The sequence below is a fragment of the Homo sapiens genome, chromosome 3, assembly GCF_000001405.40.
Source record: "Homo sapiens chromosome 3, GRCh38.p14 Primary Assembly".
Classification (NCBI taxonomy): domain Eukaryota; kingdom Metazoa; phylum Chordata; class Mammalia; order Primates; family Hominidae; genus Homo; species Homo sapiens.
In genome coordinates, this window is record NC_000003.12 from 32025080 (window position 1) to 32039220 (window position 14141).

At 40.1% G+C, this 14141-nt stretch overlaps 1 protein-coding gene, 1 non-coding gene and 1 pseudogene across 5 annotated transcripts in view; 2 read left to right on the forward strand and 1 right to left on the reverse strand.

The window, feature by feature from the left end:
• The window catches only part of OSBPL10 (oxysterol binding protein like 10), a 416868-nt gene that overhangs the window by 364255 nt on the left and 38472 nt on the right, over positions 1-14141 (reverse strand). The gene's annotated exons all lie outside the window — the stretch shown is intronic.
• Positions 5075-5632, forward strand: RPL21P40 (ribosomal protein L21 pseudogene 40; annotated as a pseudogene).
• Positions 12447-12574, forward strand: LOC124900559 (small nucleolar RNA SNORA25). The gene has a single exon (XR_007096308.1). It is a non-coding gene; the product is annotated as a small nucleolar RNA SNORA25 (small nucleolar RNA).

Consider the following 14141-nt stretch of genomic DNA (forward strand, 5'->3'; position numbering starts at 1 on the left):
AGGAGGAAAACATTCAGTCCTACACCATTAAATATGATATTAGCCCTAGGTTATTTGTAGATGCCTTTATCAGAATGAGGAAGGACCCCTCTATCTTGTTTGATGAGGGTTTTTATCATGAATTGGTGCTGAATTTCTTCCAATGTTTTTTCTGCATCTGTGAAGATGATCATATCAGTTTTGACTTTTATTAATATGGTATATCACATTAATTGATTTTTGAATGTTAATTCAACCTTGCATTTCTGGGATACAGGAATATTGCATTTCTTGGGATATTATTGGTCATGGTATATGATCCTTTTTTTATGTTGCTGACCTTGGTTTGATAGGATTTTATTAAGAATTTTGGGGCCTATGTTCATGAGGAATATTGGTCTGTAGTTTTCTCTTCTCATGTCATCTTTGGCTTTTGTATCAGGTTAATGCTGCCCTCATTGAATGAGCTGGGAAGTGTTCCTTCCTCCTCTATTTTCTGAAAGAACTTGTAAGCTACTAGTATTTGTTATTTAAATATTTGATAGCATTCACTAGGGAAGTTATTTGGGCATGAGCATTTCTTTGTGGGAAGCCAGTTCAATTTCTTTACTTGTAGGTCTATCAAGCTTTTCTATTTTTTCCAAGCCAGTAATTTACATCTTCCTAGGAATTTGTCTAATTCATCTGCTGTCTAACAGTTATTCATAATATTCCCTTACAATTCATTTTACTTCTATAAGGTCAGTAGTAATGTCCTCTCTTTCATTCCTGATTTTGTGTCTCTTCTTTTCTTGGTCTAGCAGAGCCATCAGGCTTTCTTGAGTATCCGCTGCACACACACACAGACTCCATCAGCCAGGGTTGTGTGGATGGCTCAGACCTGCTCTGGTCTTTGCTATACATGCCAAAGTCTCTGGCTAAACATGATATATGGAGCCTTTATATATACAGACATAGATAGATAGATAGATAGATAGATAGATAGATAGATAGATAGATGATAGATAGATAGATAGATAGATAGATAGATAGATGATAGATAGATAGAGATAGAGATAGAGACAGAGATAGAGATAGAGATATATAGATTTTTTTTTGAGACAGGATCCCACTCTGTGCCCCAAGCTGGGGTGCAATGTCACAATCATAGTTCACTGTAACCTTAAACTGCTAGGCTCAGTGGTCCTCCTGCCTCAACCTCCCAAGTAGCTAGGACTACAGACATGAGCCACCATGCCCAGCTAACTTTTTGAATTTTATATAGAGATAGGGTCTCACTGTGTTGCCCAGGCTAGTTTCAAACTCCTGGTGTCAAGCAATCCTTCTGCCTCCCAAAGCAGTGGAATTATAGGTTCATGTGACCATGCCCGGCTAAGCCATAATATTCTTTGAGGAATGTCTTTCTTCTTACTATAGCTGGAGGACTGTTAGCTTCAACTTACAATCCAGATTGATATGATTAAAGGAACCCTTAAAGGAACTATATGGTTCTAAAAAAACCCTAAATGTATATTGCAACAGGATGCCTCCTACCACACACAGCAATGGCCGGGAGAGAAAGACGCAGAAAACCCTACCGTTAATATCTGCATTACCTTTTGCCTAGTGAACCAAGAGAGATCTGGGGAAATGACCGCCATACTAACGCTCTCTTTGTTTCAAAATAGCCCACACAGCTGCATTTTGCAGGTGGTGAACAGCTTTTACTACTTTTAGTTGAGACAGCTCTAAGCTGAGGAAACGGGCATGAACTGCAGTTCCCCATAGAGCCCACTTCACTTCCTCAGAAACAGCCCTCCATCCTGGGCCAAAGATGCCTGCACTGGCATCCATACAGATTTGCACAGTCACCATCTCCTCACCCTCAGAAAGTCTGTTCTCACTCAGAGAGGACATAACTTTGAATGCTAGGACCCTAGCTTGCTAAATAACAGCCGTGGCCAGTGGAGGAGTCATTTATTACTTTTTTTTTCTTTTTTTTATTATTATACTTTAAGTTCTGGGATACACGTGCAGAACATGCAGGTTTGTTACATAGGTATACACATACCATGGTGGTTTGCTGCACCCATCAACCCATCATCTACATTAGGTATTTGCCCTAATGCTCTCCCTCCCTTTGCCCCCGACCCCCTGACAGGCCCCAGTGTGTGATGTTCCCCTCCCTGTGTCCATGTGTTCTCACTGTTCAACTCCCACTTATGAGTGAGAACATGCGATGTTTGGTTTATTAATCTTAAAAATGCGAATACTATATCTTGGCTATAATTATGTAGGAAAACAATGAAATATGGGTCAGAAGATGCAGATCAAATTCATAAATGCTAACTGAAGTGATGGCACAGAGAAGGGGAGAGGAATGGGATTGAGGTGATGATTCAAGGGGACATTAGCTTTATCCATAATGTTTTATATTCATCAAAGAAAAGACTAGGAGCAAATAAGACAAATGTTAACAATTAATAATTCTTGATGTTGGAAATAAGTGTTTGCTAAACTTTTCCAATTATTTTTCAGTAAGTTTAACTCAAAATCATTTTTAATTAATCAATAAAATTGAATGTGTTCAGATTTTATTTTTATTTTTTATTTTAACAGACAGGGTCTCACTATGTTGCCAGGCTATTTATGGCTATGAATAGCCACTACAGACTCAAATTCCTGGGCTCAAGTGATTCCCTTGCCCAAGTCCCCAGAGTAACTGGGACTACAGGTGCACATCACTGTGCCCAGGTTTGCATGTGTTAGGGGCAGGGGTGTTCAGACTTTAAGCAAGAAATGGAGGTCACCCTTCAGACTCCACAATTTAGCTTTTCTCAAAGCAAGAGAAGACCTTGAGCTTCTTCCTTCTTGATCTTTCCTGATAGAGGAATGGAGAGACTGGAACAACTGTCTCCAATACATTCACTGCCTTGGTCTTTTCAAAATAACTAGCCATTGGGTTCTGGAAGTGAGTGCCACCTGGAAATGAGGAAAACATTGAGAACTTCTTTCTTGTTCATGATGGCCCTAACACTTCATTGAGTCCTCTCTTAAGATGGCATCTTTCAACCCCCATCTCAGGCCAGAGCTCTTGTTGCTCCTGCTAAAGGAGGAGGACATACACATGTGCATACTCATAGATATAAATGTATGTGTTACAGACATAAATGTGTGCCTGTCAACTTGGTCTTCATGTCAAATGTACTGAGGATCAGTCAAAATGTCTGAGAACCACTATACTAAGGAACTCAAACATAAAAGGCCAAATCAGAAATCATTATTTCATTCACTTTCTTCTCTCTAAACTTTCAAAACATTTCCTCTTGCATTTTCTCTATCTCAGTAAACAGTACTACCACCCAACCCAATTGCTTAAACCAAAGACCAGAAGTCATCTTGGCTCTTTACTTCAACCTTTAAATCCCAGCCATCAATCACAGAATAGATAATAGTATGCATCACAAGTATTGATTTGTAAAATCTGTGTTTTGGATACATACATACACATATACACACACAATATACACATCAAATTGCAATATGAAACTGATTTCTCCTCTTTTCTTAAATAGGAAGAAATGTTACAAAGAGGTGGGTTTTACATTTTATGCTCTTTAAGGAGTTTGGAAACTTCTGGTATCCATAGACTCTCTTGCTCTCCTGTTTTATATTTTAACTTGTTTGGTATCCTCTTCATTTTTGTCATCTTTCCTTTTCTATGGCTAAGAAATCTGCCCCTTTTGTGAGAAATAATTGATGGAAGGTAGAAGAAAAGAGAGAACATGGAAGGTTTGAATATTTGTCCCCTCCAAAACTCATGACTCTAATCTCTAAGATTATTTCAAACATCTACTTACAGATATTGTTACAGTAGGTAGCTAGTCAGGACACACACACACACACACACACACACACACACACACACACACACACACACACACACACACACCAGGAATGTTGGGTGGCCATCAGGTGATGGTCAGGCTGTTGTTAACTGCCCTGCTACGGTAATAATTGGTCACAGCCGGCACCAGTGAAAGGCAGCCTCATAATAGGTAACACCTGAAACTGGTGATCAGCAGTTTCCTGATAAGCTCTCAGGAGTTAGGTAAGTGGGATGAAAGAAGAAATTCAAGACCCCAGAAGTATGCCAACATATAAAACCCCAGGTCAAAAGGTCAAACCACACACTTGCCTTTCAGGTTGCCTGCCAGGCCCTCTTCCAAGTGTACTTTCCTTCCTTTCATTCCTGTTCTAAGGCTTTTTAATTTTATTTTATTATTATTATACTCTAAGTTTTAGGGTACATGTGCACAACGTGCAGGTTTGTTACATATGTATACATGTGCCATGTTGGTGTTCTAAGGCTTTTTAATAAACTTTCACTCCTGCTCAGAAACTTGCCCCAGTCTCTCCTTCTGCATTATCCCCCTCAGTGAAATCCTTTCTTCTGAGGAGGCAAGAATTGAGGTTGCTGCAGACCTGTACAGATACGGATATGTTCTGCCGGTAACAATATGAGCAAGGCAAACCCTAATGCAAGTCTCGCAATCATGAATCAACATCATGTTCTTATAAAGGCCATTGATATACTTCACTGACCTAGTGTTTCCTCTTAGGGAGTTCAGCTTGACTACCAAGGAATCTAATACTCATGAAAAGAGAGCCAATAAAAATAAGATGAAAATGCATCATCTCACTGTAACCAATGTCCATTCCCTAGAGGGGAAAATATCTCAGGTAGAGCCAGAGAAACCACGTAAAGACACATAGTTTTTATTTGCCACATAATGGGGCACAGGACAGTGATTGCAGCTTCTTTATGTCTCTCATAGCTCCAAGCACAACCACCAGCAACCAACAAATAATTTTTAATAATAATTTTATATCTGAAAGCAATAAACACTCTAACAGTACCCATTAAAAGTAGCTTGTAAACCATTTCCTGAAATTGCTTTCCACCCAGTTTCAAACATGACTCTATTAAGCCATTAAATAAAACAGAAGAGACTGAGTCATAAAATGAGAATAGAGAATATGTCAAAGAAGGTTAGAGGCTAAATTTATGATATCTAAATTTTCTTAAGAAAGCAAGTGATAAAAATTTTACTGCTTCCTTTCGGCCAGAACCGCCATCTTCCAGTAATTTGCCAAAATGACGAACGCCAAGGGAAAGAGGAGAGACACGTGATACATGTTCTCCAGGCCTTTTAGAAAACATGGAGTTGTTCCTTTGGCCACGTGTATGCGAATCTATAAGAAAGGTGATACTGTGGAAATCAAGGGAATGGGCGCCGTTCAAAAAGGAATGCCCCACAAGAGGCACCATGGCTAAACTGGAAGAGTCTACAATGTGACCCAGCATGCTGCTGGCATTGTGGTAAAGAAACAAGTTAAGGGCAAGATTCTTGCCAAGAGAATTAATGTGCGTATTAAGCGTATTAAGCACTCTAAGGGCTGAGATCGCTTCCTAAAATGCGTGAAGGAAAATGATCAGAAAAAGAAAGAAGCCAAAGACAAACGTACCTGGGTTCAACTGAAGCGCCCGCCTGCTCCACCCAGAGAAGCACACTTTGTGAGAACCAATGGGAAGTAGCCTGAGCTGCTGGAACCTATTCCCTATGAATTCATGGCATAATAGGTGTTAAAAAAAATAAAAGACCTCTGGACTGTAAAAATAAATAAATAAATAAAAAATTACTAAGCAAAACCCTTAAGTTACATAAAATATTCTCTGTTTGGAAACACATTTTCTCCAACAGCAATTCCTTATCTCAAGGGAATGATAAGATTACATGAAATATTTTGACAAGGGAAATAGAAAGATTGAAAATAATTGAGGAGGCCGGGCGCGGTGGCTCACACCTGTAATCCCAGCACTTTGGGAGGCCGAGGCGGGTGGATCACCTGAGGTCAGGAGTTCGAGACCAGCCTGCCTAACATGGTAAAACCTCGTCTCTACTAAAAATACAAAAAGATTAGCCTGGCGTTGTGGCAGGTGCCTGTAATCCCAGTTACTGGAGAGGCTGAGGCAGAATTGCTTGAACCTGGGAGGCAGAGGTTGGAGTGAGCTGAGTCGTGACACTGCACTCTAGCCTGGGCGACCAAGAGAGACTCCATCTCAAAAAAAAAAGAAAAGAAAAAGAAAAAAGAAAACAATTGAGGAGAACTTAAGTGACAAACAAGAATGAAAAAGACTTCACTATTTTACAATTTCAGGGAGAGTAACTGTGTTTATCATATTTGAATCTAAAATGTATCTTAAGCCCATAGATGAAATCAAGGTCACTGGTATTTAAAACTTTTTTATTTTCATATGTTGGATTTTTTTTTAAAGATGTGATTTGAATCAGCAGCCTACTTCTTGCAACAATATTTTTAGATTCTCTTCAGTTATTTAACCTGAAAGGCTTCTTAAATAATTTTTTTTTTTTTTTTCGAGACAGAGTCTCACTCTGTCACCCCAGCTGGAGTGCAGTGGCGTGATCTTGGCTCACTGCAACCTCTGCCCCCCAGTTTCAAGTGATTCTCCTGCCTCAGCCTCCCAAGTAGCTGGGACTACAGGCATACGCCCGGCTAATTTTTGTATTTTTAGTAGAGATGGGAGTTCACTAAGTTGGCCAGGCTGGTCTCGAACTCCTGACCTCATGTGATCCACCCACCTCGGCCTCCCAAAGTGCTGGGATTACAGGCGTAAGCCACCGTGCCCAGCCAAAAGGCTTTTAATATACTAAAAGAATCCATAAAATTCTGATGTTAGTACTTTTTTCAACAAATATTCAGAAATAGACTCAAGGATAAAGCTAACATAGGAAATGCATTTCCTCTTAAAAGCAATGAGAAATAGGAAATATAAATGCAATAGAAAAATGAGTTTGAAATCTTAGAATATTTCGGAATTAAACCCAGATATTTAGGAAAGATGAGTCATTTTAAGAATTGCTCCTTTGAAATCTTAAGGCTGACCAGGCATGGTAGTTCATGCCTATAATTCCAGTACTTTGGGAGGCTGAGGCAGGAGGATTGCTGAAGCCCAGGAGTTTGAGACCAACCTGGGCAATATAATAAGACCCCATCTCTATTTTAAAAATAAATAGGCCAGGCATGAAAGCTCATGCCTGTAATCCCAACACTTTGGGAGACCAAGGCAGGTGGATCACTTGAGGTCAGGAGTTCAAGACCAGCCTGGCCAACATGGCAAAACCCCATCTCTACTAAAAATACAAAAATTAGGCATGATGGGGGGCACCTGTAATCCCAGCTACTCAGGAGGCTAAGGTGGGAGAATCTCTTGAACCCGGGAGGCAGAGGTTGCAGTGAGCCGAGATCATGCCACTCCAGCCTGGGCGACAGAGTGAGACTCTGTCTAAAAATAATTAATTAACTAATTAATTAAAAATTAAATAAGTAAAAAGAAAAATGACAAAAAACAATAAAATGAAATAAAATCTATGGCAATCTATATATTTTGTTTTTAGGACTAAGTTCCTTCTTGCATGACCCCTCCTCCACCAAAAGAAAGCAAAGCAGGAAAAGAAGAAGAATTAAGTTTTAGCTTAAGTTGAAATGCCACTTAAATAGGACACTGGATATTTTTTTGTGAATATGAAAAGAAACAAGAATATGAGAATTACTACATCTCCAATTTTTAATTCTATTGAACAGTTGACTTAAGTTGAGGTGATAACACTGTTAATCTCCAGCTCTTTAATGTTTCTAGGATAACGAATTGTGTTAGACTTCAATTCAATGGATGTATGTTTTGGATTCTTGTTTGAAAACCTTAGGAAAAATTACAGTTGGCTTACTCTCAAATGAACTCTCCATTAATATGGAATTTTATAAAATAAGATTTGTTGTTGTTGGAGGACCATTGAAAGAAAATTCACATCTTTACTCAAGACCCATTCGCTATCAGCAATAAAATGTAAAACAGTCATTCCAGTTATTAATGCCTGTTTTCAGTAGTCATATTTAGGGGCTTGTCAAATTATAATGTGATGAATTTCCTTTAAAATGTTTTTAGATTTTACAAGTTGTGTGTTACTGAACAGTTCTCCTATTATTTCTGATATCATAAAACAATTTGAAATGTATATTAAAGCTCAGTGGTTTTTTGCTGTTGTTGAATCATTTTGGTTCAACTTGTCAAAATTTGAAGGTCTTAAGAGCTGTTTCAATTCCAAGAAGCCTTTCAAATATCTATATTAATCTTGTAAAATTAATTGTTGTCTTAACAGGAAGTCTTATTTTTTAGTACCTAGAATTAATTAACTTGAACTTACATGATCCTGTGGAATTTAAAATCTGACAAACCACGGATGCCAGTCCTAAGATTAGGAATTTAATTATAAAGTAGCTGGCACCTAGAAGGCACTCAAAAAATACTTGTTGAAGGAGTACATGGAATGCAGAGAAATATCTCCTTTCTAGTAAAAGGGTGATATAACTCTGTATTGCAGCCAATAAATGCTGTATTAGAAAATTTATAAGAATATCCAGATACAAATTTATTGTCAGCCACAAGTGATATCAACTTCCCTAGACTGTGTAAAAAAGAGACAGAGTTTCATTAACGGTATTCATACACTCTATGATAGGTTTTATGAGACATTTGGCCCCAAAGTGAGAAGACTTATCTGCCTTTAAGACAGTAAGCCAATAGCAGCCATTGTTATTGGCTTTTCTTATTCTTTAGTGTAAAGAAAGAGGAAAGGTGAGAAATTAAGAATTTCTATCAGGCCAGGTGCAGTGGCTCATGCCTGTGATCCCAGCATTTTGGGAGGCTGAGGCAGGAGGATTGCTTGAGCCCAGGAGTTTGAGATCAGCCTGGGCAACATAGCAAGGATATTAGTCCATTCTCACACTGTTATGAAGAAATATCCAAGACTGGGTAATTTATAAAGGAAGAGGTTTAATTGACTCACAGTTCTACATTGCTAGGGACACCTTAGGAAACTTACAATCATGGCGGCTGGCAAAGAAGTAGGCAATTCTTCACAGGGCAGAAGGATGGAGTGAGTGCAAGCAGGGGAAATGCCAGATGCTTATAAAACCATCAGATCTCATGAGCCTCACTCACTATCAGGAGAACGGCATAGGGGAAACTGCCCCCATGAGCCAATTACCTCCACCTGATCCCACCTTTGACGTGTAGGGATTACGGGGATTACAATTAGAGGTGAGATTTGGGTGGGGACACAGAGCCAAACCATATTAGCAAGACTCCATCTCTACAAAAAATAAAAAGATTAGCCAGGTATGGTGGCCCCAGCCTGTAGTCCCAGCTGAGAGGGAGTCTGAGATGGGAGGATCACTTGAGTCTGGGAGGCTGAGGCTGCAGTGAGCAGAGATGGCACCACTGCACTCCAGCCTCGGTGACAGAGCGAGACCCTGTAGCGGAAAAAAAAAAAAAAAAGATTTTCTACCAAATGTAAATACTCTCCCCTCTAAAAGCTCTGAGACTTCCTAGAAAAGTTGTCAATAATTAGAGTCCAATCAATCACAGGCTCCAGAACAGAAGAAGAATCAACACTAAGATTTCCAGCTGAAGAAAGTGATGCTCATCACAGTGCTTTCCAAGAAAATAAATAATTTTACTGCCCTGTACCTGCAAGGGAGATACTAATTTGTCTCCAATTCATCACCTAATATGCTATAATCAGTGAGTCAATGTCAGTCAAGATATTGTATCAGCCAATATGTAACAATTTCATGGTCACTTTGCAAAGTCAGTATTGCTGAATTTAGACTTATCCACACTATATCAGACAGTGTCTATGAAAATCAGGCTTAATCAATACATGGTAAATCAATTTACAACTACATAAATGTGCAAAATATATCAAAATAAATATCAAGTATACAGCTATTATTCCAGAGCTGAGAAAAAGAAGTTATCATGTATATAAATTCACAGAGTGATAATTCTAGTAACAGGACTTTAATACATGAACATGGGGTTTTCCCATAACTGTTAACTGAAGTTGTTTCATGGAAGCAGCAGTGTCTACACTCAGACATTCACATCACACATACAGCTAGCCACACCAGAGAGAATGAGGAGATAGGAGAGTGGGGCCGTAGGATATACCATAAATGTACTTCATAGAGGAGTCTGAGCCTACTCTGGTTTGGGAGCCTGCCTGAAGAAAATTATTTTAAAAAGAAAAGAAAGAAAGAAAATGTACTTTATAGAAAAAATATAATAAAACAAAAACTTACAACTCTGAAGAATCAGGCTGGGCACAGTGGCTCATGCCTGTAATCCCAGCACTTTTGGAGGCAAAGGCAGGCAGATCACTGGAGCTCAAGAGTTCGAGACCAGCTTGGCCAACATGACAAAATCATGTCTCTACTAAAAATACAAAAATTAGCTGGACATGGTGGTGCACGCCTGTAATCCTAGCTACTCAGGAAGCTGAGGCAGGAGAATGGCTTGAACTTGGGAGGCAGAGGATGCAGGGAGCTGATACCATGCCACTGCACTCCAGCCTGGTCAACAAGAGTGAAACTCTGTCTCAAAAAAAAAAAAAAAAAAAAAATCAGACATGTTAATTCATAAAATAGGATCAGACACTAATTCTTTAAATAAAAATAGAGAAAAATAATAGGTTTGGAAGAGATCTTAAAGGAATATCTCTTCCCTCTATCCTCCAACTTTCTGGTAGGAAAAGAACCTATGCTATCTTCACAGATTTAAAAAGCAAAAAATTAGACGCAAATTTATAGAGACAGATAATAGAAGTTAAAATATTATGATATAAAATGTATCATTGTAACCATTTTTAAGTGTACAATTGGGTGGCATTAAGTCACATTCACATGGTGCAACCATCACTACCATCTATCTCCAGAACTGTTTTCATCTTCCCAAATTGAAACTCTGTATCCATCAAACAGTAACTCCCCATTCCACCCTCCCCCCAGTCTTTGGTGACCACTGTCATACTTTCTGTCTTCATGAATCCAACTACTCTGCATACTTCATTATGTATATTTTATCACAATTTAAAAAAATTTTTTTAGACAGGTTCTTGCTTTGTCACCTAGGCTGGGGTGCAGTGGCACATTCCTAGATCGCTGCAGCCTCCATCTCCTGGGCTCAAGCAATCCTCTTGCCTTCGCCTCCTGAGTAGCTGGGATGGCAGGCATGTGACACCACGCCCGGCTAATCTTTTTAATTTTTAGTAGAGATGGATCTCGCTATGTTGCCTGGGCTGGTCTCAAACCTCTGGCCTTAAGCCATCCTCCTGCGTTGGTTTCCAAAAGTGCTGGGATTACAGACATGAGCCATTGCACCCAGCCAAAAAAAATTTAAGAGAAAAAACAAGGAACTATTGATTCCTCTGCATTCCAATTGCCACTGCCCAGGTGGCACAATTCTGACCTATAATCCACCTAACTCACCACTTCTGCCTGGAAAGCTCACAGGTTTTCCAATTCCTCCAGAACCAAATAAAAAATCCTTAGATTGCCTCAAGGTTACCATGGGGTAAACCACCAGTGCCTTCCCAACTTAGTAAGATGCTGGTCCCTGAAAGGAGTGATAGATAAGGAAGACCACTTGCCAAAATCTGAGAGACGTTTCCACTAAATGCAATGTGTTGGGACACTAACAGTAGACACATTCATAGGCCAGGGATGGTAGCTCATGCCTGTAGTCCCACCACTTTGGGAGTCTGAGGCAGGAGGATTGCTTGAGCCCAGGAGTTTGAGGCTGCAGTGAGCCACGATGGCACCACTGCACTCCAGCCTGGGCAACAGAGTGAGACTCGTGTCTCAAAAAAAAAAAAGAAAAAGAAAAAAACCCACATTCCTGATGATACTCACTCGGCTCTTGAACCATGGACAGCCACAAGGAGCTTACTTATCCTCATTCTAACCAAGCAACTAGGCAGAAGTCCTACTAGTATAGACAGGCTGGCTTGATCTAAACTGATCTAAACCAAAGTTTTACCTTACTACCCCCAACCCCCACCTGCCTCTTTCTGTAACCATTCAGTGACAATTACTAGGACTTGATGTATCCACTGCCTAGCCCAGGGGCATCTTGGGAGATGAGTATCCTGTCAGGCAGTACCCCTAGAACAGTACATGCTGGAAGAAAAGCTCCCCTACGTACCCCGTGTGACAGAGAGAACAGGAACTGCGGGCTCACTGGGAGAGCTGGTTACACAAGCAGGAGGCAGTCAGCCTTCTGTGACTGCACTGCCCTCTGCAGAAGCTTTCATTTGTTTAGGCATGTTCTTGAACTGGTATTGCAGTCAGAAAATCCTAGAATGAAAACAGGAAAAAAGTTTTGCTTCTTTCAGAAAGCCCACTAAGGGCCAGGTGTGGTGGCTCATGCCTGTAATCCCAGCACTTTGGGAGGCCAGGGTGGGAGGACTGTTTGAGGCCAGGAGTACAAGACCAGACTGGGCAACATAGCAAGACCCCCATTTCTAAAAAAATTTTTTTTTTCAATTTTTTTAACGAGAAAAGATAGGTCATTTCAAAGAGGTCTTGTGAGGCTGTGAAACCAAGAGCTCTTAACACTGCGACCAAAGATGGAAGTTCTCTATAGGATGCCATGGCATTTGATGGTGCTATGTTTTCTTGAGGAGATATAAGAAAAAAGAAAAAGAAAAAAAATGATAAAAGAGAATCCACTAGGCACCAGAAATTGCTCTGGGGAGAGTGCAGATCAACCTCCACCCAGTTGTCTCTCAGCCTGAGGGGGGAAATCTGACACTTCCTCTGCAGCGGAGGGAGAGAAGAACAGCCCACATATCTGCCCAGTGACAATCCCAGGCCTTGAAAGAGCTCACTGCTTCATGGAGGAGTGAAAACAGACTTCATATATCCTAGGAAAGACTCTGCAACTTAAGGGAAAGGGAGCATTGTCCTGAGATCTTAGAGAGAAAACACTGCTGTGAAATGTTTTTATATCAGAACAGAGAAAGATTTTAGAAAATATCCACAATTTATGGAGCAATGTACCAGAGATAAGGAAGTTGTACCAAGAGAGAGTTCCAGAGATCTGCAGTGTTCCCTCGAGCCTTTGCAAAGTATGGCTTTCCACAGTCTTAGGAGGAAGCTACATGAGTCCAGGGAAAGAGCCCTTAGAAAGATGTGGATAAGCACAATCTAAAAAGTCAGAATGTATTACCTGCTGCATACAATACATGCTACAACACAGGCGAGCCCCAAAAACATTACGGCCAGGAGAAAAAGCCAGATGCAAAAGACCACATGATATAACAGGATTCCATTTATAATGAAATATCCAGAAAAACCAAGTATTTTTCCTTTTTTTTCTTTTGAGCCAGCGTCTCACTCTGTCAGCCAGGCTGCAATGGTGCAATATTGGCTCAGCACAATCTCCGGCTCCCGGGTTCAAGTGATTCTTGTTGCTTCAGCCTCCGGAGTAGCTGGGATTACAGGCGTGTGCCACCACACCCAACTAATTTTTGTATTTTTTATAGAAACAGGGTTTCACCTTGTTGGTCAGGCTGGTCTCAAACTCCTGGCCTCAAGTGATCCATCCACCTCGGTCTCCCAAAGTGCTGGGATTACAGGCGTCAGTCATCACACCCAGCCAGAAAAAGCAAATTTATAGATACCGAAATCAAACCAGTGCTTGTCTGAGGCTGAAGATAGGAATGAAGATCAACTGTACATGGGCATAAGGGATCTTTCAGAGTGCCAGAAATGTGCTAAAACTGGATTGTGGTGATGTTTGCACAACTCAGTATGTTTACTAAAAATCATTTAATTGTACACTCAGCATGGATGAATTTTAAGTAGGAAAATTATAACCTAATAAAGCAGTTCCGAAAAGCAAATCCTAGGCAAGAAAAGTAAAATAAACGGACAAAATACCTTATCTAGAAGTTAAGGTGGACTAAAAGACTGTTACAAGTCAAGTACAGAGACAAAATAAAAAAAATTAATTGAAAAACTAGACAACAATAAAAGGAATAATAAAAACTTAGGAGCTATTAAAAAGTTTATAAAGAGGGTCAGGGCATGGTGGCTCATGCCTGTAATCCTAGCACTTTTGGGAGGTTGAGGCAGGTGGATCAAGAGGTCAGGAGTTCAAGACCAGCCTGGCCAATATGGTGAAACCCTGTCTCTACCAAAAATACAGAAAAATTAGCTGGGCATGGTGGGACGTGCCTGTAATCTCAGCTACTTAG